At 49.7% G+C, this 13,785-nt stretch overlaps 1 long non-coding RNA gene across 1 annotated transcript; it reads left to right on the forward strand.

Moving 5' to 3' along the window:
• The first annotated feature begins 7 nt into the window (after positions 1 to 7).
• Positions 8 to 12,974, forward strand: LEMD1-DT (LEMD1 divergent transcript). The gene is made up of 3 exons (NR_148934.1): positions 8 to 173; positions 842 to 1,027; positions 10,571 to 12,974. It is a non-coding gene; the product is annotated as an LEMD1 divergent transcript (long non-coding RNA).
• Positions 12,975 to 13,785: the final 811 nt, after the last annotated feature.

Raw genomic sequence — 13,785 nt, forward strand, 5'->3', positions numbered from 1 at the left:
AATAATTATTCTTCAATGGGTTAGCACGGGGCGCACGCACACACGCGCGCGCACACACACCCCGCCGAGGTACCCAATCAATGCACAAATCTTCGGGGTCCCTTTAACCTCTGCGGATGACTCCGGGAGTTAATTATGAAGCCTATTTCGGCGCGGCATAAATATGCATTAAGGTAGGAAATAATCGATACGCTGAACTTCTGGGAACTGGCATTTAGACGGACTCCGTCTCGCCGCCCCCCACTCCCTCCATGGCCCCACGAGCCACCTCCACAGCCTCGCGCCTTCCCGGGGTCGCAACGCCTATCACAAGCTTCTACCCGGGTTTCAGGGGGCCCCTGTAGTGGCGTGGGCGCCGCGCCGGTGCCGGGAGACCCCCTCGTGCGCCCTCTGCGGTCGGGGCAGACCCTCAGCCGGAGCTTCTTCCTCCCCCACCCCTGCAGGCCGGGCCCAAGCTGCGACACCCCCAGCACGGGCTCAGCCTGTGAACAAACTCCGAGCTCAGTACTCGGAGGAACTGGCGAGAGCGGGACGGCTACCTGCCCGCACGCCCGATTTCCGGGCACAGCTAGAAAGACCGGGACGCGATTCAACTCCCAATCCGGTGAATCCGCCTAGCGCCTTCGGGTCCTGCCGCCCCCGGCCAGTCCCGACCCGCACACATATGCAGGCATTTGCACACACGCGCGCACACACATGCACGCACATGCACACACACATATGCACACCCTCGCGCACACAGACACTCCCGCGCGCGCTCACGCCCGCACACACTCAGGGTTATAACAAAGGAAGAGGGGCCAGCGCTGCCTTACTTTTGTCTCTCTTCTCTCTTTTGCAGCCCCCCAGCCCCGGGGCCGGCGTGCCCGGCCCACCCCGCCCTCCGCGCCCCCCGACGGCCGCGGTCAGCCGGCATTCCGGAGCAGCGCGTCGGAGCTGCAACTTCGCGCCTAAGCGCCCGCACCTCGCAGCCCGGCGGGCGGGAGACAAAAGCTGCGGCGCCGCCGCCGGAGGCCGCGCGGCCAAGGTGTGTTCGCTAATTGTCAGGAAATGTGTGTGTGTGCGGCCGGGAGCCCGCAGGGGCGGGGGAGGGGACGGAGGAAGAGGAGACCCACCCCTCCTACCCCCGCCACTCGCCAGCGCCGGGTACCCGAACCGGGATTAGAGAATAAATTATCTGCTCTCTTCTCATTGGGCTGTGGCTGAGGACGCCGTCGGCGGCGCCGGGCTGGGAGCTCTCCCGGCTCTTTGCATTCACCGCACAGCTCCGGCTCGCCTCGCTTCGTGGAGGCCGAGAGCCCGGGGCCTCGGCTCCAGACATCAGGGGACACCAGCCGGCTGGCCGCGCCGCCCCGCCCCTCCCCTCCCCCGCCACCCGGCTTGGCCTCAGCCCCCTCCCCTCCCAATTCTGGCTTGGGTCTTGGGGACGAAGATACTAGGGGAAAAGGCCTAGAGGCCGAAGATCCCAGTATCTTTCCTCCTCTCCCGCCACGCCCCCTTCCCAAGGAGGCGGAAGTGGGGGGGGGGGGGCAGCAGGGGTTGGTCACCTGAGCCCAACCCGCTTCAGTCAGAGAGGGCTTTTAGAGCCCTCGAGAGGATCCCTTCAGTGACCACGGCCCATGTCCTGCCCCACACACAATGACAAAGAAGAGATGGCACTAAGGATCTTTGCTTTTCTCCTCTCTCCAGCCCCCTCAACTGCAGTCCAATATTGTTACTAATTTCTTTCCTTTGGCCCACCTTGGCAGACAGCTCATTAACTGCCTGGAAGGAAATGCCCTCTGGTTCAAAGCAGCTTCCTGCCAAGAATTCATTCATTTAGCAAGAAATATGCAGGATCCTCCCCCCACCGCCCCCCACCACCCGTGCCATGACACGGGCTGGGTGCCAGGAATGCAAAAGAAGAAGATCCAGATGAGACAATCATGTTTTTAAAAAGCAACAAATACTGGAGTCAGAGGTGTTATCCCAGTGTGAGAGGTGCTAAACCAAGGTACAGGCAAAGTTTGAACCCAAAAGGCAGGATTGAGTAACTTCAGCCATTCATTCAATAATAATGTAGCATGTCTTCCATGCCAGGCTCTGTGCTAGGCATTGGGGATATACACAGGTGAACCAGTGCGTGTGGTGCCCAGTCCTCTGGAGTGCACAGTCTGCTGGACAAGATGAACACTGACTAGTGCCATATGAGCTAATCAGGAGACATCTGGGGAGTGTGAATAATGGGGACTCTTACTCTTCACTGGGGAGCCCAGAAAGGCTTCTCTGAGGAATGAGATCTAAAGGATGAAAGATAGCTGGGTGAAGATGGGATGGTGAGGGGCAAGGGAAGAGTTCTGGTCAGAAGAAACCTGTAGAGAGGCCCTTGAGCTGCTAGTAACTGGCTCATGAGAAAGCAGTGAATCGTCCAGCTTGCAGAGAGGGAGCACACAACAGAGCGAGGTGGGCCTAGGAAGGACCTGCAGAAGCTAGAGAGCTGCCCAGAGTAGTATTTGCAGGTGTAATCCAGGCAGATTTCTCCAGGTTCCAAAGACTAATGTTTTGAAAGAGGCTTACCTGTGTGTTGCTCTTTCTGAGCCCAACCCCACACTGTAGCCCCCTTTAACTTCTAGTGTCTGATGGTTGCAATTGGCCCAACTTTGTCCCTGCTGAAGACATCCCCAAAATAAAGAACATAGATGATGACATCCCTGTTTCAATCTGTCACTCCCCAGTGGCCTGCACCACTCTGTTTACCTCCTCATTTAGTGACCACTGGCCTTCACCTGGGGGGAGCTATCAATAGCACTGGCTAGACTCCTTTCCATGATCTGGGATTGTATGCTTTCCTATACATTTACTATCCCTAGATTCTCACAAGAGCCCTGAGAGTTAAGTTTATCTCCACCGGACAGATAGGGAAACAGAGTCAGAAAGAGGCAGTGGCTTGCTTAGTACCATGTACAAATTCATTGGCCAGAAGAATTGTTTGGCTCCCTGCCTTTTCTCTATTATACTTCAGGTATTTGCTAGCCTCCCAGCTTATCCACGAGCCCAAGATGGTAGAGGCTAAGTAATCCCCTGCCTCTACCAGAGCCTTCAGCACCTAGGACAGGGCCCTGCACACCCAGGCTCTGGAGCCAAACCTGCTGATGTGAGAGGCTGTGGTAGAAGGGAAGGAAATGATTAAATGGTAGATCTGGGAACATGTTATAGCAGAAACTGTTTGGGCTTTGGACTTAACATGCACTTCGATGGGAATTGCCACTGTTACCAACACGCTCTGAGCCATGGTTCCCTCATCTGCCAAATGGGATTTAAGATATCCATCTGAGAAGGCTGTCGTGAAGATTAAATGAAATTGTATATGTGTCGAATGTCTATGGAAAAATACACAAGACATTGCTAATGATAGGTACTTCTGGAAGGGGACCTGAGTGGATGGGGCACCTGCTTTCATTGTTCCCCCTCTAGCAGTTGTGATGTTGTACCATGTGCATGTATTACCTGTCCAAAATAAATAGTGAAATACTTTAATAATATGTAAAACAACATAAAAACAATACTAAAATAGGCACTCTGTGCACTTTTGTTGAACTGAATGGAGTTTTGTGGTTTGAAGCACTGAGATGTATTATCGAGGAAAATCACAGAGTCTCCTTCAGAAAGTGATGTTGGCCTGAAGGTTTGCACAGTGCCGTGTCTTCAGGCAGGGGTGAAGATGGCTAACCAGGTGAGATGTTTTCCAGCCCAGAAATTCTACAGTTCAAACCCTCGTTCACAGAGGTAAATAGCATCCCAGCAGGCTCACTTTCTATTGAGAGATCCAAATCCCTGCAGGTAATAGGAGATGTGTGGGGACAAAGCAGGAGTCATGGGGAGGAAAGGCTGTGGGTCTGGGCAGCCCCTCAGCGGCCCCATTCTGTCCAGAGAGGATAAGACAGAGAGAGACTCCTGATCTGCTGACCTGGTGCTGCTCTTTTCTGGCTTAGTGAGCTAGCTCCCTGCCCAACCACCCTGTAGCCCCAAAGAAAGCTGAGAGCAGCAGGTGCAGAGCCTAAGGAGGGGAGTGGGCTTTCTCCTGTTACCCTCCAGGGATTGAGGTCCTGGGACAGTGCAGGGCAGCCATTCATCAGCCAGCACAAAGAGACAGTCTCTCAGCCACACAGAGACCAGGTCGGGTCACCTCAGACACTGGGGCATAACATCAGTGGGAACTTTAGAGGTGTCTTAAAAAAAACCCTTTGGACTTTCACATCTAGTGGTATTGGCGGAAGGGTTGGGACAGGAAGGAAGCATTCTGTGGGAGATCCTGGGGAGGAAAAGGCAAAGATAGGCCCCAGCTTCAGTGAAATGGAGGAGGGCAGGTGGAATCAAAAAGGCTAGAAAAATAGGAGTTGGACGGGCGCGGTGGCTCATGCCTGTAATCCCAGCACTTTGGGAGGCCAAGATGGGCAGATGACTTGAGGTCAGGAGTTCAAGACCAGCCTGGTCAATATGGCAAAACCCCGTCTCTACTCAAAATAAAAGGAGTTAAAAGAAATAAAAATAGCTGGGCGTGGTGGCTCACAGCTGTAATCCCAGCACTTTGGGAGGCTGAGGCGGGCAGATCACCTGAGGTCAGGAGTTCAAGAGTAGCCTGGTGAAACCCCAGTTCTACTAAAAATACAAAACTTAGCCGGGTGTGGTGGTGTGCACCTGTAATTCCAGCTACTTGGGAGGCTGAGGCAGGGCAATCACTTGAACCCGGGAGACGGAGGTTGCAGTGAACCAAGATTGCACCACTGCACTCCAGCCTGGGCGACCAAGCGAGACTCCGTCTCAAAAAAAAAAAAAAAAAAAAAAAAGAAATAGAAATAGAAATAATTTATTCTGGAGAAGAAGCAACTAAGAAGGAAAAGGAAGGGAAGGCAAAGGCCCAGGACTGGGTGGCCATATTTTCATCTAAAGAAAAAATGTGGCTGTGCCTTTTTCTGCTCTGAGCTTCCAGAGGAGGGAGGCTCTCTGTTTCCCTTCTGAGGCAGAGGGTGCAGTGTTTTAGTCTGGGGCAGGGATATCCTGCAGCTCCAATTTGGACAGGTCACCTTACTGACCCCTACCTTTGCCTCCTGTCCCCCTTCTCCTAATTAACACGAAACACACTGTAGCCCAGTCCCTGGTCAGTCTTGAAAACAGAGATAACTTTCATCAGAAAGGACAAAATGCAGATGCTTTCCTTGCTAAGCAATCAGAAGTACTTAGAAATTGCCGTCACTCACAGCATCCTGAGTCTGTTGTGTGTAGCACAGTGGGCTAGAGCCTATTCCTGTTACAGTCACCAGAGCATCAGCTCTGTGATCCAGATAGAAAGCCACAGTTTTCATCAATGAATATGTCATGTGCCTAGCACAACACCGGACACTTCATGGATACAAGGATTCATTTCAGTCATCCTTTTCTTCAGGAGAGTCCTCATTGCCACCTAAGAGTCTGGACTGTGTGTAGCTTTAACTGACCGTCCACTTTCCTGGATGACAGTATCAGGCATGGCAATACCATCCCTCAACCCATACTTCACTGATATAATAAATACAAATGGATGCAAACAGGTGAGAATTACTTCATGGTCCCATCACAATCCACCAACCCATCTACACAATCTCTACTCATATTCTCTGCCTTCCCTGCAGCTGTAATAGATGAAAAGTCTCCACTCCTACTTAGGGCCAACTCCTGCATTTTTGCACTGGATCCCATCCACCCTCACTTCTGTGTCTTTGCTCCTTGAAATTATACCCTGTCTTTCCTGAATCATCAGTTTCTCCTTCAACCCTAGATCATCCCCACATACAGAAAAACATGCCTTAATGTTGCCTACCTTAAAAAAAAAACAGCCAGGTGCTGTGGCTTAAGCCCGTAATCTGAGCACTTTGGGAGGCCGAGGTGGACAGATCATGAGGTCAGGAGTTGGAGACCAGCCTGGCCAACATGGTGAAACCCCATCTCTACTAAAAATACAAAAAAATTAGCTGGGCGTGTTGGTGCGCACCTGTAAGTAATCCCAGCTACTTAGGAGGCTGAGGCAGGAGAATCGCTTGGACCCAGGAGGCGGAGGTTGCAGTGAGCCGAGATCGTGCCACTGCACTCCAGCCTGGGCGACAGAGTGAGACTCCATCTCATAAAAAATAAAATAAAATAAAAAAACCTTTCCTGGCTCCCACACCTTTTTCTAGGTAATAGCCCTTTTCTTTATCATTTTACAGCAAAACTCAAGATAGTTCTCTGTAATTACTCTACACTTTCTTACCTTTATTCACTCCTCAGCTCACTCCAGTTTGACTTCTGTCTTCACCACCCTGCTAACACTTCTCTTGTCAAAATCATCGACAGTCTCCATCTTGCAAAATCCAAAGGCTGAAGCCAGTTCAATTTCACCCATCATCATAAGTGTATGACATAATTGACTGCTCTCTCCTCCTTCCAGCTCTTCCCTTGAGACACTTCCTGGTACCCCTGCCTCACTGGCCATTCCTCTGTCTCTCCCTGGGCTCTTTTCTCCTCTCAATTCTCGCAAACCCACTCTCTAGGCAATTTTATTCCTTTGGCTTTAGAAACCAAGCTCTCTCCTAAGCTGCAGGCTTGCATATCCAAATGCTCATTTGACCTCTTCACTCAGCTGTTGTATTAGCTTCCTAGAGCTGCTTTAACAAAGTACTGCAAATTATGTGGCTTAAAATGGCAGAAATCTGTTGTCTTACAGTTCTGGAGGCTAGAAGTTCAAAATGAAGGTGTTGGCAGGGCCAGGCTGACCCCTCTAGGGGAGGATCCTTCCTTGCCTTTTCTAGCCCCAGGCGTTCCTAGGCTTGTAGCAGCATCACTCCAGTCTCTGCCGTCTTCATCACTGTGAGACCATCTTCTCTCTGTGTCTATGTCTTCATATGCTGTTCTTCTCTGTGTGTTTTTGCTGAACTTGATCTCTCTCTTTTTTTTTTCTTTTTTTTTTGAGACAAAGTTTCACTCTTGTTACTCAGGCTGGAATGCAATGGCGCAATCTCGGCTCACTGCAACCTCTGCCTCCCAGGTTTAAGCAATTCTCCTGCCTCAGCCTCCCAAGTAGCTGGGATTACAGGCATGAGCCACTGTGCCCGACCAATTGATCTCTCTCTCTCTCTTATTTTTTTTAGACAGAGTTTCGCTCTTGTTGCCCAGGCTGGAGTGCAATGGCTCCATCTCAGCTCACTGCAACCTCTGCCTCCTGGGTTCAAGTGATTCTCCTGTCTCAGCCCCCTGAGTAGCTGAGATTACAGGTACCCACCACTACCCCCAGCTAATTTTTTGGTATTTTTAGTAGAGACGGGGTTTCTCCATGTTGGCCAGGCTGGTCTCAAACTCCTGACCTCAGGTGATCTGCCCCCCTCGGCCTCCCAAAGTGCTGGGATTACAGGCATGAGCCACCGTGCCGGGCCGATCTCTTTTTATAAAGATGATAGTTATATTGGATTAGAGCCACCCTCATGACCTTATCTTATTACATGTGCAAAGACCCTATTTCCAAATAAGATCACATTGACAGGTATTGGGAATTAGGACTTTTTTGGGGGAGACACAAGTCAACCCATAACAGATGTCTACCAGGAACTTTGAATTTAACATGTCCATGATGGAATTCTTGATTTCCATACCCTTTGCTCCCAATCGCTCCTCCTTCAGTAATAGGACCATCAGCGCTGTCCGAAAACGTAGAGAACATCCTTGATTCCTCTCTTTTTCTCGCCCTCCCACAGCTAATCTATCAGCCAGACCCATTGCTCAAATCCAACCACTTCTGTCTGTCTCCCTGGCTGCCCCTTGAGTCTAGTGTTCTTGCCCCTCTCCTGGCTGACTGCGCCAGCTTCCTCCCTGGCCTCCTGCTTCCACTCATTCTTCCCACTACAGTCTACTTTCCATCTAAAAGCCAGAGTGAGTGTTTTAAAGCACAAATCAGATCACATCCCTCCCACTGCTTAAAACCTTCCAAAGACTTCTTACTGGAATTAGAATAAAATCCAAGCTTCTTAACTTGGCTTATGAGGTTTTACACGGTCTGACCCTTCTCTCGTTTACTACAACTCTCCCCAACACTCACCTCCTCTCCAGCTGCACAAGCCTTCCTTCTGGCTTCCCTGAACATTCCAAGATTGTTCTCGCTGAGGGCCTCACACTTGTTGTTTCTTCTGCCTGGAACACCCTTCCATCATCTTGGCATGAATAACTTTGTCTCATCATTCCAGGTGTATCTCAAATGTTACCTCCTGAGAGAAGCTCCCTATTGCAATAGGCACTCTCTATCCCCTTACTCTATCTTACTTTATTCATAGTTTTATTTCTAACTGAGAATGTTTTATTTATTGGCTTCTGTGTTACTATCCAACTCTCCTATTAGAATGTAAGGGGCCCCAATACCTACAGCAGATTCAGTACATAGTAGGGCCTCCATATTATTTTTTTTTATTATTATTATTTTGAGATGGAGTCTCACTCTGTTACCAGGCTGGGGTGCAGTGGTGCAATCTCGGCTCACTGCAACCTCCACCTCCTGGGTTCAAGTGATTCTCCTGCTTCAGCCTCCCGAGTAGCTGGGACTACAGGCATGCGCCACCACGCCCAGCTAATTTTTGTATTTTCAGTAGAGACAGGGTTTCGCCATGTTGGCCAGGATGGTCTCAATCTCTTGACCTCGTGATCTGCCTGCCTCAGCCTCCCAAAGTGCTGGGATTATAGGCAAGAGCCACCGCGCCTGGCCTGGGACTCCATATTATTTATTAAATAACATAAATTTACTACTACATGCCAGGCACTGTACTAGGTATTGCTTTTGCAATAAGCAAATGGTAAAATATGTTTTTGTTTGTTTGTTTGTTTTTGTTTTTGTTTTTTTGAGACTGAGTCTTGCTCTATCATCCAGGCTGGAGTGCAGTGGTGCAATCTCTGCTCACTGCAACCTCCACCTCCCGGGTTCAAGCAATTCTGCTGCCTCAGCCTCTTGAGTAGCTGGGAATACAGGCACCCGCCCCATGCCTGGCTAATTTTTGTAGTTTTAGTAGAGACGGGGTTTCACCATGTTGGCCAGGCTGGTCTCGAACTCCTGACCATGTGATGCGCCCACCTTGGCCTCCCAAAGTGCTGGGATTACAGGCATGAGCCACTGTGGCAGGCGGTAAAATATGTTTCTTCTTTATGAACAAGACAGTGACCCTTCCCCTGGGGAGCATGTCCCAGAGAAAACCAGGTGCTGAACAACTTGTTAGCAACATTATCTCTGAGGATGGGTAAGTTCTCTGTCTTGGGGCCACAGAAGTTTCTCCAAACCTACACCACTCCTGACCCTTCCCTGCCTCCGCATCTCAGTAGATGATCTTGCTTTCTACTTCGCAGAGAAAACTGAGGTCTGGACCAGGAACTGTTGCCCCAACCTATTTCCTTCCCTTTCCTCCTTTCTGCCTGCCCTTCTGGAAAGAGTGTAGGCTTTGCATTCAAGCAAACACAGGTGCTAACTGTGGGTTTGTGAGTTACCTTGGGCAAATTACTTAACCTCTGAGTCTCAGTTTCCTCATCTGTAAAATGGTCGTGATAACACCTACCTCATTAGGTTGTCCTGAAGATTAAATGAAACATCCTATATCAACATGCCTGTCTTTTCATAGTTGCTCAGTAAATGGTCCATTCCTTTCTCTGACCCTCTCTCCCCAGCCACCTGATGAGATAAGTGCTATCCTTCCTGTTTTACAGATGAGGAAACTGAAGGCAAGTCTACTGATGTTCAAGTCTGTCAGTTAACTTACCCAAAGTCACATGTTGCTAAGTGGCAGGCCCTGAGTTAATTCCATATCTCAGACTCCAGCCCCAGGGGATCGCGCTGCTACTGCAAAAAGCAAATGCGAAGACAATCAGTTGGCATTTTAATAATGCCGAATTAATTCAATTTAAAGATTGTTCCTTAGTCTGACATTTTGTCCATTCTCTCTCTCTCTCTCTCCCCACCACCCTTAGTGTTGTTAGAATGTCCTTTATCTCTCTTTCTCTTTTTTTTTTTTTTTTTTTTGAGATAGGGTCTCACTCTGTCACTCAGGCTGGAGTGCAGTGGCACGATCTTGGCTCACTGCAGCCTTGGGCTCAGGTGATTCACCCACCTCAGCCTCCTGAATAGCTGGGTCTACAGGCATGTGCCACCGTGCCCAGCTAATTATTTGCATTTTTAGTAGAGATGGGGTTTTGCCATGTTGCCCAGGCTGGTCTTGAACCCCTGGCCTCAAGTGATCTGCCTGCCTTGGCCTCCCAAAGTGCTGGGATTACATGTGTGAGCCACTGTACCCAGCCTAGAATGTCCTTTATCTTAAGAAATGATTATTGTATTTTTTCCTTACTTGGAAAGAAAGCTAGCTATACAACATCCACCCCCTGCATTACAAAACTGCCTTAAACAGCCTAGGTAGGCTGCCCCTCCTTATTTCTGGCAAAGGGCTGGCCCCAGAATGTGTGTATTAGAGGGGCTAAAGTTGGTGCTTTGGTTGGGAAGAGGAAGTCGAGGAATTGTCTAAAAGCTAGTTACATAACTATTAACCTTTTTTTGAAGGAATTAATGGAGAATTCAGAGAAATCAGAGCTTCTACCCCACCACCCTCTGTCATTGCACTGCCCTGGCACATGGGCACAACGTCTTCTGAGAAGGGACACAAACTGCTCAGACATGCGGCATCCTCCCTGTAGTCCTCCTTTCCTGGCCAGTTGGAGAACGATCTCTGCCTTTCAGTTCTGAACAGCTTCCAGCATGCCCCATAGGGAACATTTTGGATTTGAATGAAGAGCATAAAAATGTGGTCAGCATATTGGCCTTGGTATTTGATTTTCTTTTTTCCATGCAACCGGCCCCAGGAGGTGACTGACAAGTTGGGCCAAGTGCACTGAAAGCCCTGTCTCGGCTGGCCCATAACTCCTGAGCTACACAGACCCCTAAGGACCCCGTGAGCCAGCAGAGAGCCATAAATCCAGCAAGCTGGAGGCTGGGAGCTCACTGATTGCACTGGGGAAAAGCAGCCTGATCTGATTGCTATGTGAGCTGGAGAGAGAAAAGGTGGTAACTGGAGTGCTGGAAATACAACGACTTTGGAACAAAATGAAGCAACAGAGGAATGGCAGGAGGGACTGTGGTTTTCTCATCTGTACAACAAAGGGGCTGGATTGGACTGCCTCTGAAGCCCTTTCATCACAGAAATTCTGTGTTTCTCTTTGTAACTAAGGTCAAACAGATGTGGGAGGGTGTCAGGATGGGAAAGCAAGATCGGGGGACCCAGAGAAGCCAGAAGAGGCAACGAGGAGGCCAACATATTTACTGCCCAATTACTATCACATTTTTTGGTGTGTGTGTGAGACAGGGTCTCACTCTGTCTCCCAGACTGGAGTGAAGTGGTGTGATCTCGGCTCACTGCAAACTCCGCCTCCCAGGTTCAAGCGATGCTCATACCTCAGCCTCCTGAGTAGCTGGGATTACAGGCACATGCCACCACACCTGGCTATTTTTTTATTTTTAGTAGAGATGGGGTTTCACCATGTTGGCCAGGCCGGTCTCGAACTCCTGGCCTTAAGCCACTCACCTGCTCAGCCTCCCAAAGTGCTGGGATTACAGGTGTGAGCCACTGCACCCGGCCAACTATCACATTTAATTCTCAGAATAACAAGTGAGATAGATATAGTTATCGCTATTTTACAGAGAACACTGAAGTACAGAGGCTACATTAATATCTCAAGGTCACAAGGCTCCGTGCTCAGGCTGGGATTCCAACCCAGGCAGTCTGACCCAGAGCCTGCACGCTTGGTCATGAAGCCCTCTCGCCTGAGTATGCAATGTGACCAGGAAAACCCTGGAGGAAACATGTACACAACTTGTGTTTCCTTACTTTTAAGGGTAAGAGTGGAAAACAGATAGTCCCCATGGAGTAGATTGTCCAAAATACACATCTGTCTTCTGGGAAAGAGGAGTGTGTGTGTGTGTGTGTGTGTGTGTGTGTGTGTCCATAGGGGATGTAACAGACAGAACCAAGAAGCATGTAGGTGAAAATATTTAATAGGGATGAATGTAAATTCCTGTACCTGGGCACAGAATCCCCATTATATAAAAATAGAATAGAGAGTTAGGATCAGAAAGCATCAATTTAGGGGCTTCACCTGACAGTAAGCTCAGGTTGAACACCAGTGTGGTGAGGCTTCCAGAAAAGCCCACCACAGGGCTGCATCAACAGAAGGGAAGTGTCCCACACCAGGACAGAACCCTTAGACCATTCGCGCTAGGTTGAGTTCCAGGCCCCTTGCTATAAGAGGGACAGAGCCAGGCCGGAGAGGATAAAGAGGAGAGCAACAGGGATAGTGATGGACATCTGAGGAAGAGGTAAAACACCAGTTGAAAGAACCAGGCCAGACATGGTGGCTCATGCCTGTAATCCCAGCACTCTGGGAGGCCAAGGCAGGTGGATCACCTGAGGTCAGGAGTTTGAGACCAGCCTGGCTAACATGGTGAAATCCCGTCTCTACTGAAAATACAAAAATTAGTCAGGTGCAGTGGTGGGCACCTGTAATCCCAGCTACTTGGAAGGCTGAGGCAGGAGAATTGCTTGAACCCAGGAGACAGAGGTTGCAGTGAGCCAAGATTGTGCCACTGCACTCCAGCGTGGGCAACGGAGAGACTCTGTCATAAAAAAAAAGAAAAGAAAAAGAAAGAACCAGGTGACATTGTGCAAGTTACACCATACATCACAACGTCAGTTTTCCTATCTGCAAAAGGGGTTTATTAGTAGGGACGGCATAGAGATTAAATGAGGTAATGCATGTAAAGTGCTTAGCTGGGGGCTGGACATAATAAACGTTAGCTGCACCAGCCGTTATTAAACCCTGAGCATGCTCACCTCAGACAAGGGGTGCATCAGGGACCTGGCTGGAGGATCAAGCACAGGGATCTCCATGGCATGGGTCCAGAGTCACAGCTCTGCATGTAGCTTAGTGAAGCCAAAGGCCCCACAAGTTGTTCCTCATCCTCTGACATAAGTTCTATTAAACCTCAGCAGCTCATTCTTCTTGGTGGTAGTGAGTTCTCTTAGTGATCAAAGCACAAAGGTGTCTGGCTAGCACTGTTCCCTCCTTTTGGGCAGGCTAGTTGGGTGGGCAGGGAGTGCAGGGGCCATGGGACCAGCAGGGCCCCCAGTGACTGCCAAGGTCCAAGGCACCTCCTGCTGGCTCATTCAGCCCCCTCCTGTTCTGGTCCTTCCCCTTCCCCAGCCCACAGCCCCATCTTGTCCTCCTCCACCCTCCTTGCTCTCTTGCTGGGAGCAGGGACAGCAATGCTAGTCTCCCCTTTGACGCTTTTCCTGAACATTGGCTGAGCATCAGTTTCCTACACTGGCAGAAGCGAGACACACAGTAGGCTTTCAAGGACAGAGAGGAGGAGGACTGAATGCTTAGAAGACAGCAAAGTACATCACAGGCTGTTGGGTTGGAAAGCACCTGCAGGATCACCTAGTTTAATCCTTAGACTTGGTGGTTTTCTAACTGTACTGAGCATAGAATTATTTGCGGTAGATTGTTTAAATGCAGATTCCCGGGCCCTACGTACTGAAATACAGTCTCTTGGGTGGATTCCCAGGAATTTCATTTGTAACCAGCTCCAGCAGGTGATAGCCCATGCAGGTGGTCTGGGTGGACATTTTGAGGAACACTGCCCTTATTCCTGACTCCTCTCCATATTTCTACTACATTCCTGCCACATAGCCATGAGAAAACTCACAGAAAAGAGTTCACAGA

This window comes from Homo sapiens, chromosome 1, assembly GCF_000001405.40.
Source record: "Homo sapiens chromosome 1, GRCh38.p14 Primary Assembly".
Classification (NCBI taxonomy): domain Eukaryota; kingdom Metazoa; phylum Chordata; class Mammalia; order Primates; family Hominidae; genus Homo; species Homo sapiens.